This window comes from Homo sapiens, chromosome 13 (assembly GCF_000001405.40).
Source record: "Homo sapiens chromosome 13, GRCh38.p14 Primary Assembly".
NCBI classification, from domain to species: Eukaryota; Metazoa; Chordata; class Mammalia; order Primates; family Hominidae; genus Homo; species Homo sapiens.
This window is the reverse complement of record NC_000013.11, coordinates 43,347,863-43,366,539: the sequence shown is the minus strand read 5'-3', so window position 1 is coordinate 43,366,539 and position 18,677 is coordinate 43,347,863. Positions and strand designations below refer to the sequence as shown.

At 42.0% G+C, this 18,677-nt stretch overlaps 1 protein-coding gene across 31 annotated transcripts in view, besides 1 other annotated feature; it reads left to right on the top strand.

The window, feature by feature from the left end:
- ENOX1 (ecto-NOX disulfide-thiol exchanger 1) overlaps window positions 1-18,677 on the top strand; it is a 573,843-nt gene that overhangs the window by 420,433 nt on the left and 134,733 nt on the right. For all 31 annotated transcript variants that reach the window (XR_007063686.1, NM_001347965.2, NM_001347963.2 and 28 more), the window contains 3 exons: window positions 5,088-5,261; window positions 6,483-6,689; window positions 10,388-10,621. Coding sequence is in view for 30 of the 31 variants with exons in the window: in NM_001347965.2 (NP_001334894.1) it covers window positions 5,088-5,261; window positions 6,483-6,689; window positions 10,388-10,621 (615 nt within the window). In the remaining variant the exon portion in view is untranslated. The remainder of the gene's footprint in view (window positions 1-5,087; window positions 5,262-6,482; window positions 6,690-10,387; window positions 10,622-18,677) is intronic.
- Window positions 6,444-7,029: an enhancer, noted in NCBI's record as "OCT4-NANOG hESC enhancer chr13:43933647-43934232 (GRCh37/hg19 assembly coordinates)". NCBI's record gives its function as "activates a minimal SCP1, AML or CMV promoter by ChIP-STARR-seq in primed H9 embryonic stem cells {active_cell/tissue: H9 hESC(primed)}" and the evidence as "EXISTENCE:reporter gene assay evidence [ECO:0000049][PMID:30033119]".

Sequence of the window (18,677 nt, the reverse complement as noted above, 5' to 3'; positions counted from 1 at the left end):
CTTTGGGAGGCCAAGGCAGGCAGATCACGAGGTCAGGAGATCGAGACCATCCTGGCTAACACGGTGAAACCCCGTCTCTACTAAAAATACAAAAAAAATTAGCCAGGCATGGTGGCGGGCGCCTGTAGTCCCAGCTACTCAGGAGGCTGAGGCAGGAGAATGGCATGAACCCAGGAGGCGGAGCTTGCAGTGAGCTGAGATTGTGCCATTGTACTCCAGCCTGGATGACAGTGCAACACTCATGTCAAAAAAAAAAAGCTGGTCAGCCTTAGGTCATCCAGCTGTGCCAGATCCCTTGACTTTAAGATCACCTTTTTTAAAATGTTCACTTTTCCTCTGCTGTTCACAAAACAGTTTTTTAAGAATGCTTGAAAAAAGAAAACATGGAATGAAAAAGAGCATTACTTTAATAGTTTACAAATTCAATGACATTATAGAACAACAAGACTTGTCAATTGCAATAGGAGACTTCTGAAAAAGTTTCTCCACTGGAAACTTCTGGTAAACAGAATGTCTTCAGGTATCACGTGGCTTCTCTGCAGAGTGATGATAGGTCAGTAATTTTAACCCAGTAATTCTGGAAAAAGAAGCAGCACAATTGCATGTTTGTTAGAGCCCTTCCAGCCTGTCTCTGTGCCCTGCACAAGTCCTGGGACCTGGCCCCACACACTTACTCTGTCCCTGGACTTGAGGGTCCATCTGGCGTCAGGCGGGAGGAAGGGGGCTCTGGAGCCCTGCATTCTAAGACTCAGCATCCAAGCAGGCTTTATGCTGGTCAGGCTGTGACCTGTGCTCCGTATCTGATAACTGAGGGGTCTATCTCCTTCCCCAAACCCCAGGCTTCTATTTTGTTGTCTGAATCCTGTCTTGCTTCTCCTGCCTGAATCCTGGCTTAGGTAACCTGCCAATTGGCCTAGTATTTCTCAACTTATGACTCCATGATGTTCCTGCAAACTTTATTTCCCCTGGGCTGGGTCTGAACCCTGGACCAGGGGGTGCAGGCCCTGTGACCTGTAGACAGAGTCCTCTGGGCAGCTGCCCCACCTGGACCTGTGTTTTATCTGCGCTAATAATCTCTGTGTTCAGCCACTTTGTCAGGACACCCTCAGCCCAGGACTACACCTGTAATGCAGCCATTTAGCCTGATTACTGCCTCTTTCTCTTATTATTTTCTTAAAACGCTATGTTCTTCCTTCCAGACCAGACTTGTTCCTAGTACTGACAACTTCTCTCTGTCCCTCCTCCCTGCCCACACCTAACCTAGTTAGTATGCCCAGCCTTGCCTGGCAAGAGGCCTCAACTGCCTTTCTTTCAAATGAAATCTAGTTCTCATCTCAAATATGAGACTCTTAACTGAGGCATTGACTAGAAAGGGCAGAAAAGGAGCAAGGCATGGCTAGCGGGCAGCAGACAAAGAGAGAAGAAGTGAGGAAGGGCGGCCCAGGCACCGGAGCCCTGGCCTGGCAGGGTGCATCTCTGACTCTGAGTTCCAGGGAGAGCAAAGTTGAAATTCACTAGCTTGAACAGCAGGGTCTCTCTGATCTGATCTAATTCCTGCAGTCTCTCCAGACATTGTGGCCACACTGCCAGATGCACACCATGAAAGAGCCATGAAAAATTGTTTGGAATTCCCCAGGCCTACCAGGCTCTCTCCCAGCAATTCCCTTCCTGGACTCTCTCTGTGTCCTCTGAGCCTCAGCTCATGTGTCCCGACTCTTTTGCTGAGTTTGGTTCCCATCCTTTATCCTCTCCTCAAACTCAAGTGGGGAACTTACTACTGTTACCTCTGTAACTCCAGATCCTGGCAGTCATACGTGCCCAGGAAATGCTGAATGGATCTTTAATTCAAATGAATGAGTGCTTTAATTAATTCAACTGCCATGCCTCTAAAATCCTGAACACAAAGCCCCAACCTGCCTTCTGAAAAATGCTCATCCAATTGATAAAACACTGGCCTGTGAATCAGTAAACAGGATTTTTTTTTGTTTGTTTTCATCTCGTCCAACTGGGAACAGACAACCAAAAAGAAACCTTTGCCGAGCCTTGGCTGTGGCCAGTCTCTGCTTGGAGCCGGCAACACAGAGAGGAGCCAGACAGGGCCACGGTCTGTGATGAATAACCCTTCCTTCCTGTCATTTCAGTACAGTTGTGATAAAGTTCTACTGTATACGTAATTGGATTCTTTCTTGCTGTGATTTAAGCAGTCCTCCTCTTTGCGCTGAGTAGAATTACAACTCATTATCTCTGAAGCTCACAGGGGCAGCTTTTCCTAACAGGGCATGGAACTGATTCTTCGGGTTGCGCTGCCTTCTCCCCTTTGTCTTCCTGTGTTTGTGTCTTCCTCGATTTTCAGTTTGTGCGTTTGCTTTAATGAGCGAGTACATCATATGCTCCTGTGCTGTTAGAGAAAACAATTTCCATCTTTACATATATTGTTAAAAAAGTAATGGGTTCTTTTTTTTTCTTAAAGTCTAATCCTTCCTTACTTTCTCCTCTCAAATACTGAATCTCCAATCCTTTCAGGTCCAACATAATTTACGTGTTAATTCCTTTCTAAGCTCTTTTCAAGCTACTGCACTTGCCATGCAGATTTCATTAAACCTCATAGTCTCCTCATACTGATGTCTCAGAAAAAAGCAAAGCAACTCTTGCTGTATATTAAAATACGTTGTACAAGAGTGGTATCTTCTGTCCCCATTTCTGGACATATATTTATTTACTTAGCCTTCAGAAAGAAAACAGAAGTCTGTTAACAACTAAAGAGAATGCAAGCACTGGGCTTCTCTTCTCATTTGTGGGAAACATCTGCTGATTATAATTCACAGGGCTCTCATTTCAGGGTTTGCAGTCCTGAGTGGTTTCAGCCTTAAATCATCCTGTGTTGGCAAATAATAGCGAGGGCCAGGCCAGGAAAAAAACAGATGAAGCCGATGTACGGAATGAGATTAAATAAAAGCACAAGCATGCCAATATTCCCATTGCCAATATTTCTTTTTCTAATATATTCACCTTGGAGGCCAATATGTTATTTTAATGATGATGATGTTGAAAACCATTCTGTTCTGGAACTTCTTTAGAATTGATCGGCAGGACCCATCTTGATTTTTTTAAGGGTAAAGTACATTTTAAGAAGTAGTGGCATGTATTAGATGAGTAATCATGTTGGGTCATTCTAGATGGAAACTTTGAAATAGTCACATTTAATACATGTTTAAATACTGAGGCAAAGACCTGGGCCCTCATTCTGACTCTGCCATCTGTTTGATTTGGAATGTTAGAAGTTTTACTTAAGTACTTTAAGCCTTACTTTCTTTTCTGTAAAATGGAAATCATACTTGTGAAACTTTCTGATGATTGACAGAATAAACAGAGTCATCTCTGTCACTTATAAAACTTTAAGTCTTTTGTGTGTCAGTTTGTACTGAGCAACATCAGCATGGAATCCTGGAGTCTTGGAATTCTAGCACTCCAAGAGATAATCCAGTCAAACAGTACCATATTACAGATGAAGAAACTGAGAGCCATAATTGTAGAGGAAGTACCTAGAATGTCAGGGTGACTACTTTGAAAGAAAATGCTTATTTGTCATTTATATTTAGGGTTCTTTTCTTTTAAAAAAAAATCCTCCTTTTACTGAAGTCACACTGATACACTATGAAATTAAATGGAGTTTTTAATAAATGGGACAGCAGTCCTCTTGGGGTTATAGATCAGAATCACATTGTTTATTCTGTTCAGCCCAGAGGAGGAGTGGAAATGTCCAAAGTAGCTGGCGGAATCTGTAAACCTTTTCCCAGAAAGGAAACGCTTTTGCTAGACCTTCTGTATTCTCTGGAGCTTCTTAGTAAACAAAGCGTGTGGTTATTCTTACATCTGCTTCTGGGCTCCTCCAGCCTTTCAGCACAGGTAAGCGAAGAGTGAGGCCATGCGGAGGCCTAAGGCACAGGCTGTACAGGAGAACTGTACAAAGGGGTTGTCGGGGGCAGGGGTGGCGGGCAGGAAGGAAGACTGGAAGTGATGTAAGATGAGGAGGGAGAAGAAGATAGGATGGTATGAGACAAGAAGGAAGTTTCATCCTTGCAGAGTAGAGGAGGGCACCATGATCTATCCTGGCCTGTCTATCTGGGAACATTTTCACGCCACCCATGAGACTTTTCTGCCAACAGGGAAACCCTCATGAACGGGATCCCCTTGTGGCTACTCAGTATAGTATTTTCATAGCCCCTGCTGTTAGAAAGGTCTTACTTATTAGTGTCTGTATGCCACCTTTGAAATCACTTGCTTCATTATCACACTAAAAAAAAAAAAAGCTGGAAAACCCATTTGTTTTGCACACTTTCTATTTTCAAGTGTGTGTGTGTGTGTGTGTGTGTGTGTGTGTGTAATACAGGGCATAAAGATTTCAAAAGGGTGGGTCAATTCTTTGTTGACTAAATTATAGGAAGAAAGTGCAATTATCCAATAGAAGCCAGAAATGTATATAGCTAATTTTATGCCTGCATGTATCTAACCCAGCCATAGTAATTGTAATCACTCTTTGTTTTGCTTTTTTTTTTTTTTTTATTCCAGGGGAAATAGGTTAGGTGGGACCTGAATACATCATTATAAAGTATGCACATATAAATTGAACTTTCCTAAATCTAGGTCACTTGGGTAAGAAGGCTCTTTTGATGAAACCACGTTGACAATTAGATTCACAGAGCACTTCAATGTTAAATGATATTCTTCCCATATTCTGGGTCATAAGGTGGTATAAACAATACACCAACGTTAAGAAATAGAAAATTGCATTCACAGTAATAGTGAAGCTTCATGGTGCATGCTTTTACATTTTAATATGCTGTGTTCTTTCTGCCATGTTAATATTTTAAGTAATATAATTTCCTTTTCATGTAGTTTAATGTTCATCTTTTACTTTTTTTCTCTTTACCCTTCTGGCATAGCTTTCTATAATATTATATCTTATGCCAGGAGAAATTCCTGAAAAATAGAAAGTATAAAGTCAAATAATCCACAGGAAAATGGCAAAAACAACAACAAAAATGGATTTAATCTCCAGTCAAAATGTTATCTTGTATACTTTACAGACTCAATCTGTGTCCCAGGCTTTGATCCAAGCCTCAACATGATGACTGGAATCACCCCCATTAACCCAATGATACCAGGCCTTGGACTGGTACCTCCCCCACCACCAACAGAAGTGGCTGTTGTCAAAGAAATAATCCACTGCAAAAGCTGTACTCTTTTTCCTCAAAATCCAAGTAAGTAACGCCTATGAGAAATATTTGCTCATTTTAAATGTTTTTCTTTTTAAATTTTAAAATGGCATTGCAGTCATTTTCAGATGTGACTCACACGTAAATGCACAGAGTGGGGATCCGTTCTACAGAAGGCCTTTTGTCTCTAGGTTACAATAAATATACAGGGATGTGGCCACGTGTCTGTCCAGAAGCTGAATCCACACTATAAAGCCAGTATGTGGGATTTAGGGATGTGTATCCAGCGTTAAGACTTTTTGCATGCAGTGAAGCCTAGTGTTTGCCGGAGAACACAGTGTGAAATATGTGAGCATTTCCATCCATCTTCACAAATGTGGGTGAAAAACTCTGAAATATGTTTTGCTAGATGGAAAATGGAATTAATTTGACAGTTAGCAATTTGGGGGCTGGGGAGAGGGAAGCCTGCATCTCAGAGTTTCTGGACCAAATTGTATTTGCTTGAAGGAAACATACATTTGATGAAGTAAATGGGCCAGAATTTTATTTTTTTAATTTTGCCTCAGATACTAAGTTTATGGGCTAAAAGAGCTAGGACTTTTTTTTTTTTTTGTCATTCATATTAATCAGTGTTGCCTTTTTTAAGTGGACTTTTCAGGAGATTGCTTTAGTAATCTACATATAAACTAGGTAAAATATTGTGAGAGTGTACATTGTATCTTTTTATACAGCCTTCCCAAAATTTAATAGTTTGCTCATTTAAATGTGAATAATAACAAAGTGGTTTTTTTCAGGCCCGGTGTTTCACAGCCAAGTAAGTATTGTGCGTGCTTTTGTAGGTTATGCTTCCCGTATTCTGTTTTGCCGCTCCTTTATCTGGAAACAAGACAAAGCAGATAACACGCTGAGGTTTTTCATCATGTTGTCATTTCGTCATGTTTTGTACTTTGGGAAGTTTTTTCCCTCCCTTTTCTGGGCTTCTGTAGTATAAAGGAGAAATGAAATTATGCAAACATTTGCTTTATCTTTGTTCATGGACAAGCATATAGCCACTCTGTGTAGCAATGAACACAGAAAGTAAAGGTTGGGAGCAGGAGGGGAGAGGAACTTAGAAACAAGACAGCCTGGGATCAATGTTAAGTTGGCATAGAAATTTACCGTCACTCAGTCTGGAGAAAGTTACTCTGCAAGCTTTAGTTTTGCCAGGAGAACCAGAGAAAGCAAATAAATGAAAGATAAAACTTTCTGTTTTGTTGTGATTATTAGATCTTCCACCTCCTTCCACAAGAGAACGACCTCCTGGGTGTAAGACCGTGTTTGTCGGAGGATTACCAGAAAATGCTACTGAGGAAATTATTCAAGAAGTCTTTGAACAGTGCGGTGATATTACAGCAATTCGGAAAAGCAAGAAGAATTTTTGTCACATTCGCTTTGCAGAGGAATTCATGGTTGATAAAGCCATTTACCTTTCTGGTACTTTGCATTACATAAGGAGTTTTCTAGGCATTTTGTTATGTTTTGTGATGTTAATATGAGCTTATTCCCTTTGGCCTTCATGCAAAATAAAGTCTTCATAGTTTGGGGCTGGAAAAGGAGGAATTCTGCCTTCTTCCTTGGCTGCCAGAAGCTCTGCGCTAAGCCTGTGAAGGTACTTCACTGCAGGAGCAATTTCCCACCATCCAGTCTTTAGGAATTCCATCGAGTTTCTAATTAATGTTCTCAAGTGCTTATTAGATGAGAAGCAATATTATGAGTACTAAGGACCATTATTCTTACTGGATGTAATCCTTAGGAGGAGTAAAGTACTCTCTCAGAATAATTTCAGGTTTTTGGAAGTGGATTCACTTTCTGGACACCAAGGTACCAAAGCAAGGTCAGTTCCTTGCAGGAAAGTAGCTTAGGGGCCCTAGGAGAAGGCCCAGTATCATTGCCTCGTTGGTGGTTCATTAAGCCTTGTCCTCTGGTGTCAATTTTTATAGGCGATTTTTACAGATACTGAGATTAGGCCTAGTGCTGCCTTCCCATCTGTGGGTATTGGGCCAAGTGAATGGAGTCTGTCCGCAAGGCCTTTGCCAAACCCAAGAATTAGGGGCTGGCTTTGGAAGGACACATTCTCAGACTGAACTCACTGCCCTTCCCTCACACTCCCCACCTCCATTTTTCAGTCTGTCCCTCTGCATTTCACCTCCCTATTCCTGAGGCAAAGCTGATGGGGGAATGTGGGAAAACAGTAGCGGGTGGGGGTGGGGAGGGGCAGGGGGACCTATCTGAGCATTCCTGCCAGGTTTTACTTAATTTCTGCAGTCCACCTCTATTGCCACGAAATTCTGTGCAAACTCCAGAAGACTTGAGGTTATTCCAATACTGCAGAGACTTTCCTAAGGTAGACAGTGATATGGAGAACTTTAAAACCCCTTATTTCAGTAAAACCTTACAAAGTAGAAAATAAAAACTAAAAGCAATACAAAATGGAGAAGGAAGACAAAGCCTAGAATGAAGACATTTCATAACACACAATCCGCTGTTAGACAACGGGGGTTCTGGTGAGTTTGTGGCACTGGGTTTCACGGCCTAGAGCCTGCCTCCATTTTCTCATCTATAAAATAAAGATAGTAACAGCATGACCTCGTAGGACTGTGAGGAGGAATAAATCAAATAATGGATATTAAGTGCTTAGCAGGGCACCTGCAACATAGAAACCATTCAGGAAATGGTTGTTTTTAACACAAATATCCTGATGATGATAAAGAAGGACGGATTTTTCTATCTCAAGAACCCTATCCTGGGGACCTGGCTTCTAATCACAGCTGTACCAAGAAAACTGCAGTCATCCCTCAGTACACTTGGAGGATTGGTTCCAGGACCCCCCGCCCCCGCCCCATGTATATCCTGCAGAACCCTCATGTATATGAAAAGTCAGCCCTCCAAATATGTGGGTTTCACATCCCTCGAATGCTGTGTTTTGGATACACATTTGGTTGGAAAAAAATCCACCTATAAGTGGACCTGCACAGATTAAACCCATGCTCACAGGTCAACTGTATTCTTTACCCTACTTGATTAAATGAGAAGGTTAGAGTAAATCAGAGGCCCTTTTCAACACTAATACAACACAATGTTCACACCCAATCAGAAGCCTCATAAGACACTGACAAAGATGAACAGTCCCAAATTTAGGCATATGAAAGGTGCTCCTTGATTATACCTTGATCCTATGATTTTCCAGCCTGGGTGCTGGTCCCGCTTCTCTCAGCAAGTCTCTGATTGCTCCTTGGTCTGCCCCATTACTGTAGGAGGAGAAGACAGCTAGGCCTCACCTCCAGCTTCCCTACCTGGGTGCAGAGGAGCCTCCTAACTCTGCCTCCCTGCCCTTGAGAGGCTGCAGCGTCAGTCCCAGGAAGATCTGCAAGGCCAATTAACTGGAAAGGCAGGAAGGAAGTCAGGCGGCCCCTCCTGTTTGTGGGCTCCAGCAAGCCCAAGCCCAAGCCCAGCTGGAAGGCCTGTCTAATTTTAGGACCACATTCACGTTTGAAGGCCTAGCTAATTTTAGACTCAGCCTCATCAGGGTCTCTTTTAAGTCCTTAATGATGATGTTTCTGTGAAAGTGAGGGTGTTTCTGGAGCCAGAAATGTTTGAAAACTGCTTCTCTGGACATGAGCAGGGGAAAGGTGCTTGGCCAGTTGGGATAGCTGGCCAGTTTAAACAGTCCTGCCTGCTCAGCTGTTATGCGTGTATCACTGTGGCCTGCTGACTTGTTAAGTTCCCATGGCCCACAACCAAGATACATTTTGCTTTTGCATTAATTCTGCACATCTGTGATTAGATGTTTTTGTTTTTGATTGGTATTGTTATGTCTTCCCATTTTCAGATAACACTTGAAAATCTAGCAGTGAGAAGGGTTCCAAGGCATCACAGAAACCAGATGTGAAGTCAATATCTTATTTGTAACTTTTCAAAGGTGTGAAGTGGCATCCTGGGGAGGAGCCAGCCTCTACAGAGATTTTCAGCTGAGGTTTATCCCCAAGTGCTAAAATAATCCATTGAAATCTACCATGAGATCTTGAACATCAGCACAGTGCAGCCTAGCATTTTACAGTTGTATCTCATTTGCAAAGCCCCCATACTGGAAAAGTGCTTATGTTGCTCTCTCCTCTGGCAGCCCCCAGCAGCTGTGTCTCTGCTGGGACCTGGATTTATGTTCTGAAAATCTGAGTACCCCAAACTGAAGAGCAACCTCAAAGTCAACTCTTCTTCATTTGAAGTTAGGCCGGCTGACTGGTTTCAGTTCTGTTAGTGTTGATCTCTCAGATCAAATTTCTGCTCATAATCTTTATCTAAGTTGGGTAGCTCACAGTGAATCCCCCAAAGATTTCCAGGCCCATTTTTTTCTTTGTCTAGCTCTGGGCTCTTGCACGGGGCTGCTGTGGCCTTAAAATATTACATGAACAATTTGTGTGGTGCTGCATACCAGATGAGGTGCTGCAGGGCTGTGAGGCAGGCAGCGGCGAGGCCTCTTGATCGAAGGTAAAATATTCTCCTGCGCACCCCAGAGGATAAGTGGAAATAAAACAGCATTGCAAAATTGCCTTGGTAATTGTGGCTTTTGCAGCTGCTGAGAGAGAATTGAGCAGCAGCATTTTCTGGGGGAATGTAGCAATAACCTGTGAGTGAGGTGTCTGGAATTCACTTTGTAGATCTTTTTAAATATCATAGATGCTCTTTATTTACTCATATTTCACCTATACAGTAGAATTATAGTAAGCTGAAAATATAATAAAACCAAGGCCATAAAAAGGTAGAGAAAAAAAATGCTCCATGCCAAATTTGTTTCTGAGCTTCCTAGAAGCCAGGGAGAAGAAGGAATGATCATGATAAGACCCTAGTTCCTGAGATCATCTTCTCTTGGGGATACTGGTTTGGAAGATGGGTAAGCAGCCCTCTGAGACAGCTCTCCAAGGTGTGTTTATCCCCAAACCTGTAATAGGCCTAACTTTACAGAGCTTCAAGATTGCTGGGGAAAAGGATAATTGTTTCCCGCTTCCTATGGGAAATGTATCCGTAGTGACAGCCAAGAAATAAGTGAGCATTTGCCTAAGCGTGCCTTGAAGGTCTGGACCAAAACTGTGGCCATTGTTACATTATGGTGTGACCAGAGTTTCCATTGGTTTCAGGTTATAGGATGCGATTAGGGTCTAGCACCGACAAAAAGGATTCAGGCCGCCTTCATGTGGACTTTGCCCAGGCCAGGGATGACTTCTATGAGTGGGAATGCAAGCAGAGGATGCGTGCCCGGGAGGAGCGGCACCGGCGCAAGCTGGAGGAGGACCGGCTCAGGCCCCCATCCCCGCCTGCCATAATGCACTACTCGGAGCACGAAGCCGCTCTGCTGGCTGAAAAGCTGAAAGGTATGGGCCACCCACGCTGGCTTTTCTTCCTCCACAGGGATCCCCAGACACGGAACCCTGTGCGTTTCTCCTGCGTCCACCATTGTCCCTTCAGCACAATGTCTGCTATGCCTTAAGAAGGCTGTAAGAGTCTGGTGTAAGCACAGACTCTTTACAGAGCTGGGGTGGGGTTAGCTGGGGGGTCTCCTGGAAGCTGCAGACACCTGGGCTTCATCTTCTGCCTGGGACAGACCCCTGCCCCTTTCCAGAATGCTCACCCATGTTCTCCATAAAAGTGTATGTACAGTCACTCAACAAAACTCACTGAATGAGGGGACAGAAAGGTCCCCAAAGCAGGCTATTATCTTCTGACCCAGTGTTTAATGAGCCAGCAACTATTTGTGCCATTGGTGGGGCGTTCTTAGTGTTCCTCCAGCTCTATAGAGTGTGCATGTTTACCAGACTCCTAAAGCCTTCTTCAGGCAAAACAGCAGACATGGTACTAGGGTCCATCGAGGATAGAAAAGAAACATAGAATGGGATCCCTGTCTTCAGAGATGCAGTTGAAGGGACACATGCAACATTTACAGGATGACTAGCAAGAGAAGAGAGTATGTTTTATTTCTTCTAATGTTTTCTGAGGCCCTCCCTGGTGTTTTATGCTGTGGGAAATAAAGACATAGGAAGGCTCTGGTACCTGCCCCCGTGAACTACAGTGATGCCAGATTTTGAAGTTAGGATGACATGTGAATTCAGTTCTATTACTGACCAAAGTTGTGTGAGCTGAGCAACATATGGGCATTTTACAGGCAAATGATGGTCAGACCCTCCTGAGGTCACTGAGCACTGTCAGGATTTGATGAGAGAATGTAAGTCACAGTTGGTGGCCACATGTAGGTGTCTACAGATAAACAATTAACTGTAATACCAAGTCAATGGCATGATTGTCAACCAAGGTAAATGCAATATGCTTTGGGGACTCAGGGGCCAGTGCAAATAATGTTGATGAAAGTGTCAAGAAAGTCTTTATAGAGGAGGCATAATTTGAAATTTGCAGAATAAATAAGATTTTTTTCCCCAGGATAAAAAGAGGCATAAAGGCATTCTAGTTAGAGGCTGGAGACCTAAGAATAAAAACCCACAGAAGCAGAAAGGAATTCAGCATAGAAGCTGCCTTTCTAGAGTGAGGTAAAGCTGGAATGGCAGTCTGGGCCAGATGGCAGAGCCCTGAAGGCTATTGCTGGATTTGGGTTTTATTCCATAAACAGTGGAGAAGCCATTAACAGATTTCTGATGAGAAGAGGGATGTGATTGATCCTTCAAGTGTTTTAGAACATAGCTGGTGTATTGCTGGCAGTGTATAAAGTGGATTGGATGTTTTCACTAAAAAAAATGTATGAAAAGCTGCCTAACACCTATTTTAGGAAGATAGGAAGTTGACATTCTATGCTTTAAAAAAAAAAAAAAAAAGGTGGCAGCGGGGGTGCTGTGCTTCCAATCTTCATCCCCCATCCAGGGCTTGAGAATCCTTAATCAACTGCAGCTGCCACTGAAATACCCGCACCGTAACCAAGGAATGCTTCTTGCTGATGCTCTTGTGGTGTGTCTGCTGCTTTGAGAAAACATGTCTTACTGATGTAAATACATAGGCCATGGCTGTGCCTTTAATAAAGGGCATATGCAGTGCAGATACAGATATCATCTCACTTTTCCCTCCAGCCTAGAAACCATAAGGAGTGGCCAAAATGAGATACAGCAGCAATGTTCTCAACAAGGAGTATTCACTGGAACAATAATTTTTCTTTAATATCCAATGTATTGTGGTATCAGATTATGATCTACACAGACTAACTGTATTCAGTTTGTCCACACCTAGAAGTGACAAAAACTGCACCTTGATCTGTGACCTCCTGGAGGAATTTCATAAAAGCGTATCATCTAGTTATGTTGTTTTTAAGAACCCAGTACAGAAGTGTCTCCGCACGTATGAAGTATGTGGCATTTGCCGCTCCTTTTAGAGGATAACAGATTGGGATGTCAATTTGGTAAAGTAATTTGCAAGCCTTGCCATTTCAAAAGTATATATTTATATAGATGAGTATAATTTACAGAATTCAGAAGCTGTACCTTTGCCAAGTACTGTGTGATCCCTTGAGGAAAGAACAGATTGGAAATTTTAATAGATGGCTGTTACAGTAGAATGAACTAGCTGGGGATACATCTTAGGCAAGAGTCAGGTAATATCAAGCTTGACAATTTCAACCCAAGCATAGAGTTTGGAATATAAACAGCATTTAATTGCTTAGGAAATTGGCTGCCTTAGAGAGGAAATCCACTCCATGCTCCTTATAATGTTGCAAAGCCAGACAGGAGGAGCTGAGGACACTGTTTCCCTGAAGATGATTTCATTGATGTGGGGACATAAAATACAGTCAATACCTAAGGTAAAGAAATCTGTGTCAGAAAGGAAATGGAAATGCAATCTGAAAATACCTAATTGGATTTGATTTTTTTCCTCCCCTGAGAAATCTTACTTAGATTTATTACAGATACTTTTCCTCTATTTTATATCATACTTGTTTATTCTTACAATTTTCTCTTTGAAAATCAGCTTTATTTAGCAAAATCTGTACAAACCAAGTCTTTCTTATGACCCACAAGGCCCTCTCCATGTCCTGTCCAATGCTAAAACTGTGCACATAGTAGGTGCTCAGTAAAAATAATTATTTTCTCTCTTCTTCTGCTATTTGGATCTATGAGCACGTTGAATTTCTGTCCAGTGGTTCTACTGGGCATGACCAGATGTACATGGAAATGATGTGATGTGTGCTCAGCCATCCTTCCAATCACTCAAGAAGTATTCGTTAATCAGCATTTTACCATATGACTGGCGCTGTCCTAGCCAGTGGTGGAAAGGACAACGGTGAACAAGCCCCTGCCTCAAAGAGTTTAGGTGTCTTGAGTGACACAGGCAATAACAAATCACCTTGCGTTTGCCACTTATAATAGTGCACTATTATAATAAATATAATAATCCTCCTGTTATATGTGGGAAGTGCACAGTGCTGTCACAGGGGAGATAGCCAGCCCGGATGGGCAGTGCTGGAGTGAGAGAGGGAGGATCTTCTGGGACCAGGTTATCCCATTCACTGGCTACTTGACCTTCTGAAACCAGAGGTAACACTGTGTTGTATTTGTGTAGTGCCTGAGACATGGAGTCACCCAGTGCCTGTTACATTAATACAAATTCTAAAAAAGAAAATTAGTAAGCATCCTGCTGGTTAAACAGACATTGTTCCGAGACAATTCAACTTAATGAAGACCGACTGGGAAGTAACTGCTCAGAAACCCAAAGTTTATAGCATGGCTTTGAGAAAGTGGGAAGGAGCTCAATAACACCATAATTACACTTTATTGGAAACAGTGGCAACCAGGCAGATGAGATAATGAATTTCAGTGTGTCTAACACAGACCATCCACCCCTGGAGGAACCCTGTGTTTGGACTGTGGGAGGAAGAGATTGATTAGACAGTGAGGAAGGATTATATTCTAATTCACCGGGATTTCTCTTGGCAAGAGCATTTAAAAGTTTTTACGTACTTTGTACCCCCTTAGAAAGCTTCACATAATCTTTCATTTTGTGATGAAATGAAGAGTTTCTCTCTGAATTAGGTGACGTCCTGACAAAGCCTTGCAGGCAGGGCCTTTGGGATTTCCTGATGTGTCAACAAGAATACCATCCTCCTGGGATCAACATTCATAATTTCCAGAGAACTGGACTCTTATTTGCATATAGAATAGCCTCATGTCAGCCTGCCAGAGGGAGGAAGGGGCAGATGTGGTACCAGCATTTTGCTGAGATGGTTGTCAGTATTTATGGTTCCATGAAAGTAAAAATCAATAATGTTATGAGCCAAGTGGATGTCCCATTAGCTAAAAGCCAGGCTTCCTTCATAGAGTAAGGGAAATATGAAACATAGGAGCCTGTTTGCAAATTATTTCCTTATGTGTTATTGACCTTCATAGAGGCAAGATAGGCCGTTTTATTTAGAAATATTTTGCTTGGCATTATTCACAATAGCAAAGACTTGGAACCAACCCAAATGTCCAACAATGATAGACTGGATTAAGAAAATGTGGCACATATACACCATGGAATACTATGCAGCCATAAAAAATGATGAGTTCATGTCCTTTGTAGGGACATGGATGAAATTGGAAATCATCATTCTCAGTAAACTATCGCAAGAACAAAAAAGCAAACACCGCATATTCTCACTCATAGGTGGGAATTGAACAATGAGATCACATGGACACATGAAGGGGAATATCACACTCTGGGGACTGTGGTGGGGTGGGGGGAGGGGGGAGGGATAGCATTGGGAGATATACCTAAGGCTAGATGACGAGTTAGTGGGTGCAGCGCACCAGCATGGCACATGTATACATATGTAACTAACCTGCACAATGTGCACATGTACCCTAAAACTTAAAGTATAATAAAAAATAAATAAATAAATAAATAAAATAAATAAATAAAATAAAAAGAAATATTTTGCTCGACCCTAAAGCAGGAATAATCAGTGCATTTTCATATTGCCCCCTTAATTTTCTCATTTTTACAGCTACTAAATAGTTAAGGAGATTGCATGTGTGTTTTGGGGGTAGAAGGGAACATTAACTCTTTGTTTAGCCTTTTATGCTGTCTGTGATCTGGTTAGTTGATGCGGGGTTAATTGAGCAGCCAGGAAAAGGAGACTTCTTTAGGGACATGTACAGAAATTTGGGGATTGTGATAGCAGCAATGCTTTGACCATACTGAAATTCCAAATCTGCTTAGATGACTCTGTGACTGTACACTGTGAGCAATTTCCAGCTATCTTTGGAGCCAGAAATCAGTGATAACTACAGACATACCTTTCCTTGTGTGTGTATGTGTGTACACATGTGTGTGTCCCTCCATTTCTTTGGAAAGAAAAGCATTTTAGAATGCCTTCCTTGTTTTCCCTCGTTCCGTTCAAACATAAAATCCCTGTCTCCTCATTGTTCCTTTATAGACCCAGCTGTAAATAAGGATACTATAGCCCACCTAAGTTTCGTATTCAGTGCTCCCGGCTTGGCTCTTATCCTATCTATTGTTCTGAAATTCAGGGCTGCTTCTCCCTGTGCACACAAAGCGGGAGGAAAAAAACACCAGCCGGGCGTAGTGGCTCACGCCTGTAATCCTAGCCCTTTGGGAGGCCGAGATGGGTGGATCACCTGAGGTCAGGAGTTCGAGACCAGCCTGACCAACATGGAGAAACCCCATCTCTACTAAAAATACAAAATTAGCCGGGCCTGGTGGCGCATGCCCGTAATCCCAGCTACTCAGGAGGCTGAGGCAGGAGAATCACTTGAACCCAGGAGGTGGAGGTTGCAGTGAGCCGAGATCATGCCATTGCACTCCAGCCTGGGCAACAAGAGCAAAACTCCATCTCAAAAACAAAAACAAAAAACACTTACCAATTTGGTTTATTTTCCCCATCATTATCTATGTATCAGTTTAATTAAAATTCACCAGGTACCCATCGCTTTGTGCCATGCCCTGGACTTTCAGATATGACTGTAGCATGGGCCCTGTCTTTTGTTAAAGAATACTGTGGCGGTGAAATCATGACTGTCTTACAAATATAAAATGAACATGTGCCAATGATTTTATTTAACTCACTAATTAATAAGGAGACCAAGAAAATGTTAAAACTGTTTCGAAGGAGAATTCGCTTTATAAAGATTTACATTTTCTACTGAACAAAAATTAATTTGCATTGTTACAGAGACGAATTATTTGTATTGTTATCAGTTTGCCACAATTTATGTTCTACTCCTACAAAGTTGTAAAATAGCCTAGTCAGAGATTAGCCAAAGAATTAAAGTTTCCCACCCCCTGTAGAATTAGGTAATTCATGCCCAGCATTCCATAGAAAGGGTCTATAGTAATCTCTATGCCCATTTCCAAGTCTTGAACCCTTTTTATTTCCTGGATAGAAGTGACAGCTGTGGGGACAGGGATTTAATTGGTCGTGGGGACAGGGATAGAGACTCACAAAGCTCTTAAGAATCACATCTATTCCTTTTGAAAGTCTCTAGTATCTCAGCTGCTACTTTCCACTTCAGGATTTCATTATCTCTTACTTTGGTCAGCTCCTAACCAGTTTACCTGGCCTTCACTGAGTCCTTTCTTCAGTGTTTCTCAAACCTCCATGTGCGTACAAATCACCTGGAGTAAAATGCAGATTCCAATTCTGGAGGTGTGAGAAAGGCTGAGTCTGTGTTTTTAACAAGCTCACAAAGGCTGCTCCTGCACCTGGTCTTAGAATATAGCAAAGAGTTCTCCCATATGCAGTTTTGTAATGCCTACTATGTGCCAAGTACTCAATAAATGTGGAAGAGAGGGAGAAGGAAGGGGGTTAACAAAGTCTGAAATAACCAGAAATGAAATGAGATGGGCGTGGATTCCAGTGGTGACATCTGATAGTATCATTATAATATTATTTACTCCTCACAAAGCTAAAGAGCAATTACGTTCCCAGAATTAAAAATGCTTTCAAAAACATTTTTGAGTTATTTGATAAACTGTTTAGTGCCTCACTGCAGAGGGCCTTGCTTCTGTGGGATTATCTGACATCACTCTTAACTTTCATTGCCAGTGATAATGACTTCTGAAGCCTGAAGTATAACGGGATCATTCAGCTTAATTGTCATGAGAACATCTATCTCTCGTAGATAATGGCATGTGTGAAAATACTCTTTGACATGAAATTTAAATGTTTATTATCAACTCTGATGTTTCCTAACTTTTAACCATTACATTTGTATCTTTCCAGTATTAATTGCTACAAATCTATTAGGAATACAGTAGTCTCCCCTTACCTTTGGGGGATACATTCCAAGATCCCCAGTGGATGCCTGAAACCATGGATAGTACTGAACACTATATATACTATGCACAAGCTTCTTTTTACTTCTTCACAATTTCATAGATAAATTGTTCTTATCCTAGATTTTAGCAACCTCAGCATACAATTTCTTTCTTTATTGTGAAGAACTTTTACCTTTTCACGTAAAGGAAGCACTTGGTGGCTTTTCTTTGGCATTTCCAAATTGCCAGCATCACTACTCTTGCATTTTGGGGCTATTATTAAGCCAAATAAGGGTTTCTTGAACACAAACACTGCTGTACCATTACAGTGGATCTGATAACCCAGGTGGCTACCAAGTGATTCACAGGGAGGTAGTGTAGACAACGTGGATACCCTGGACAAAGGGATGATTCATATCCCGGTCAGGTCAGAGTGAGACAGCGTGACATTTCATTATGCTATTCAGAACAGTGTGCAATTTAAAATGTATGAATTGCTTGTATCTGCAATTTTGCATTTACTATTTTCGGTCTGCAGTTGACCACAGTTAACTGAGACCTAGGGTAACTGAAACCTCAGAAGGTGAAACTGTGGATAAGGAGGAACTACTGTAGAATGCAATAAAATATAAAATACAAAGGGAAAAACTCAGAGTAACCAGAAGACAGAAATATGTCTAGAAATATGTCTTTGGAAATTTTATTCTCATATTAGCCCCTCAAAACTGGAGACAGATCTGTAAACCAACAATTACCATACAGTGCGACTAATGCTTTAATAGCAGGATATGCGGGGAATTGTGGAAACATAGCAAAGAGACACCTAATTCATCCTAGAGTTGCAGAAGAGATTTCTTTATTAAAGGGCACTTACGCTGAATCTTGAGGGAAGAATAACAGCTGACCAGGGGGACCAGGAGTGGGAGAGACCCAAGGATAAGTGCACAGCATGAGCAGATGCAGGGAGGCACGCCGTGCTGTTTAACAAAGAGGGCTCTGGCAAAGGAAGCGGGGACGGACGGATGGAAGGGAAAAAGGCAAGACCCGTGAATGGACCTGTCCATTAACTCAGGTGCATTAACATTGTGAGGACCTGATTAGAAAACGGTGGGTAATTTCTAATGAGCAAATGATTTATATTCACTCCATCATATACCAATCGTTCTCAATTCTTATAGT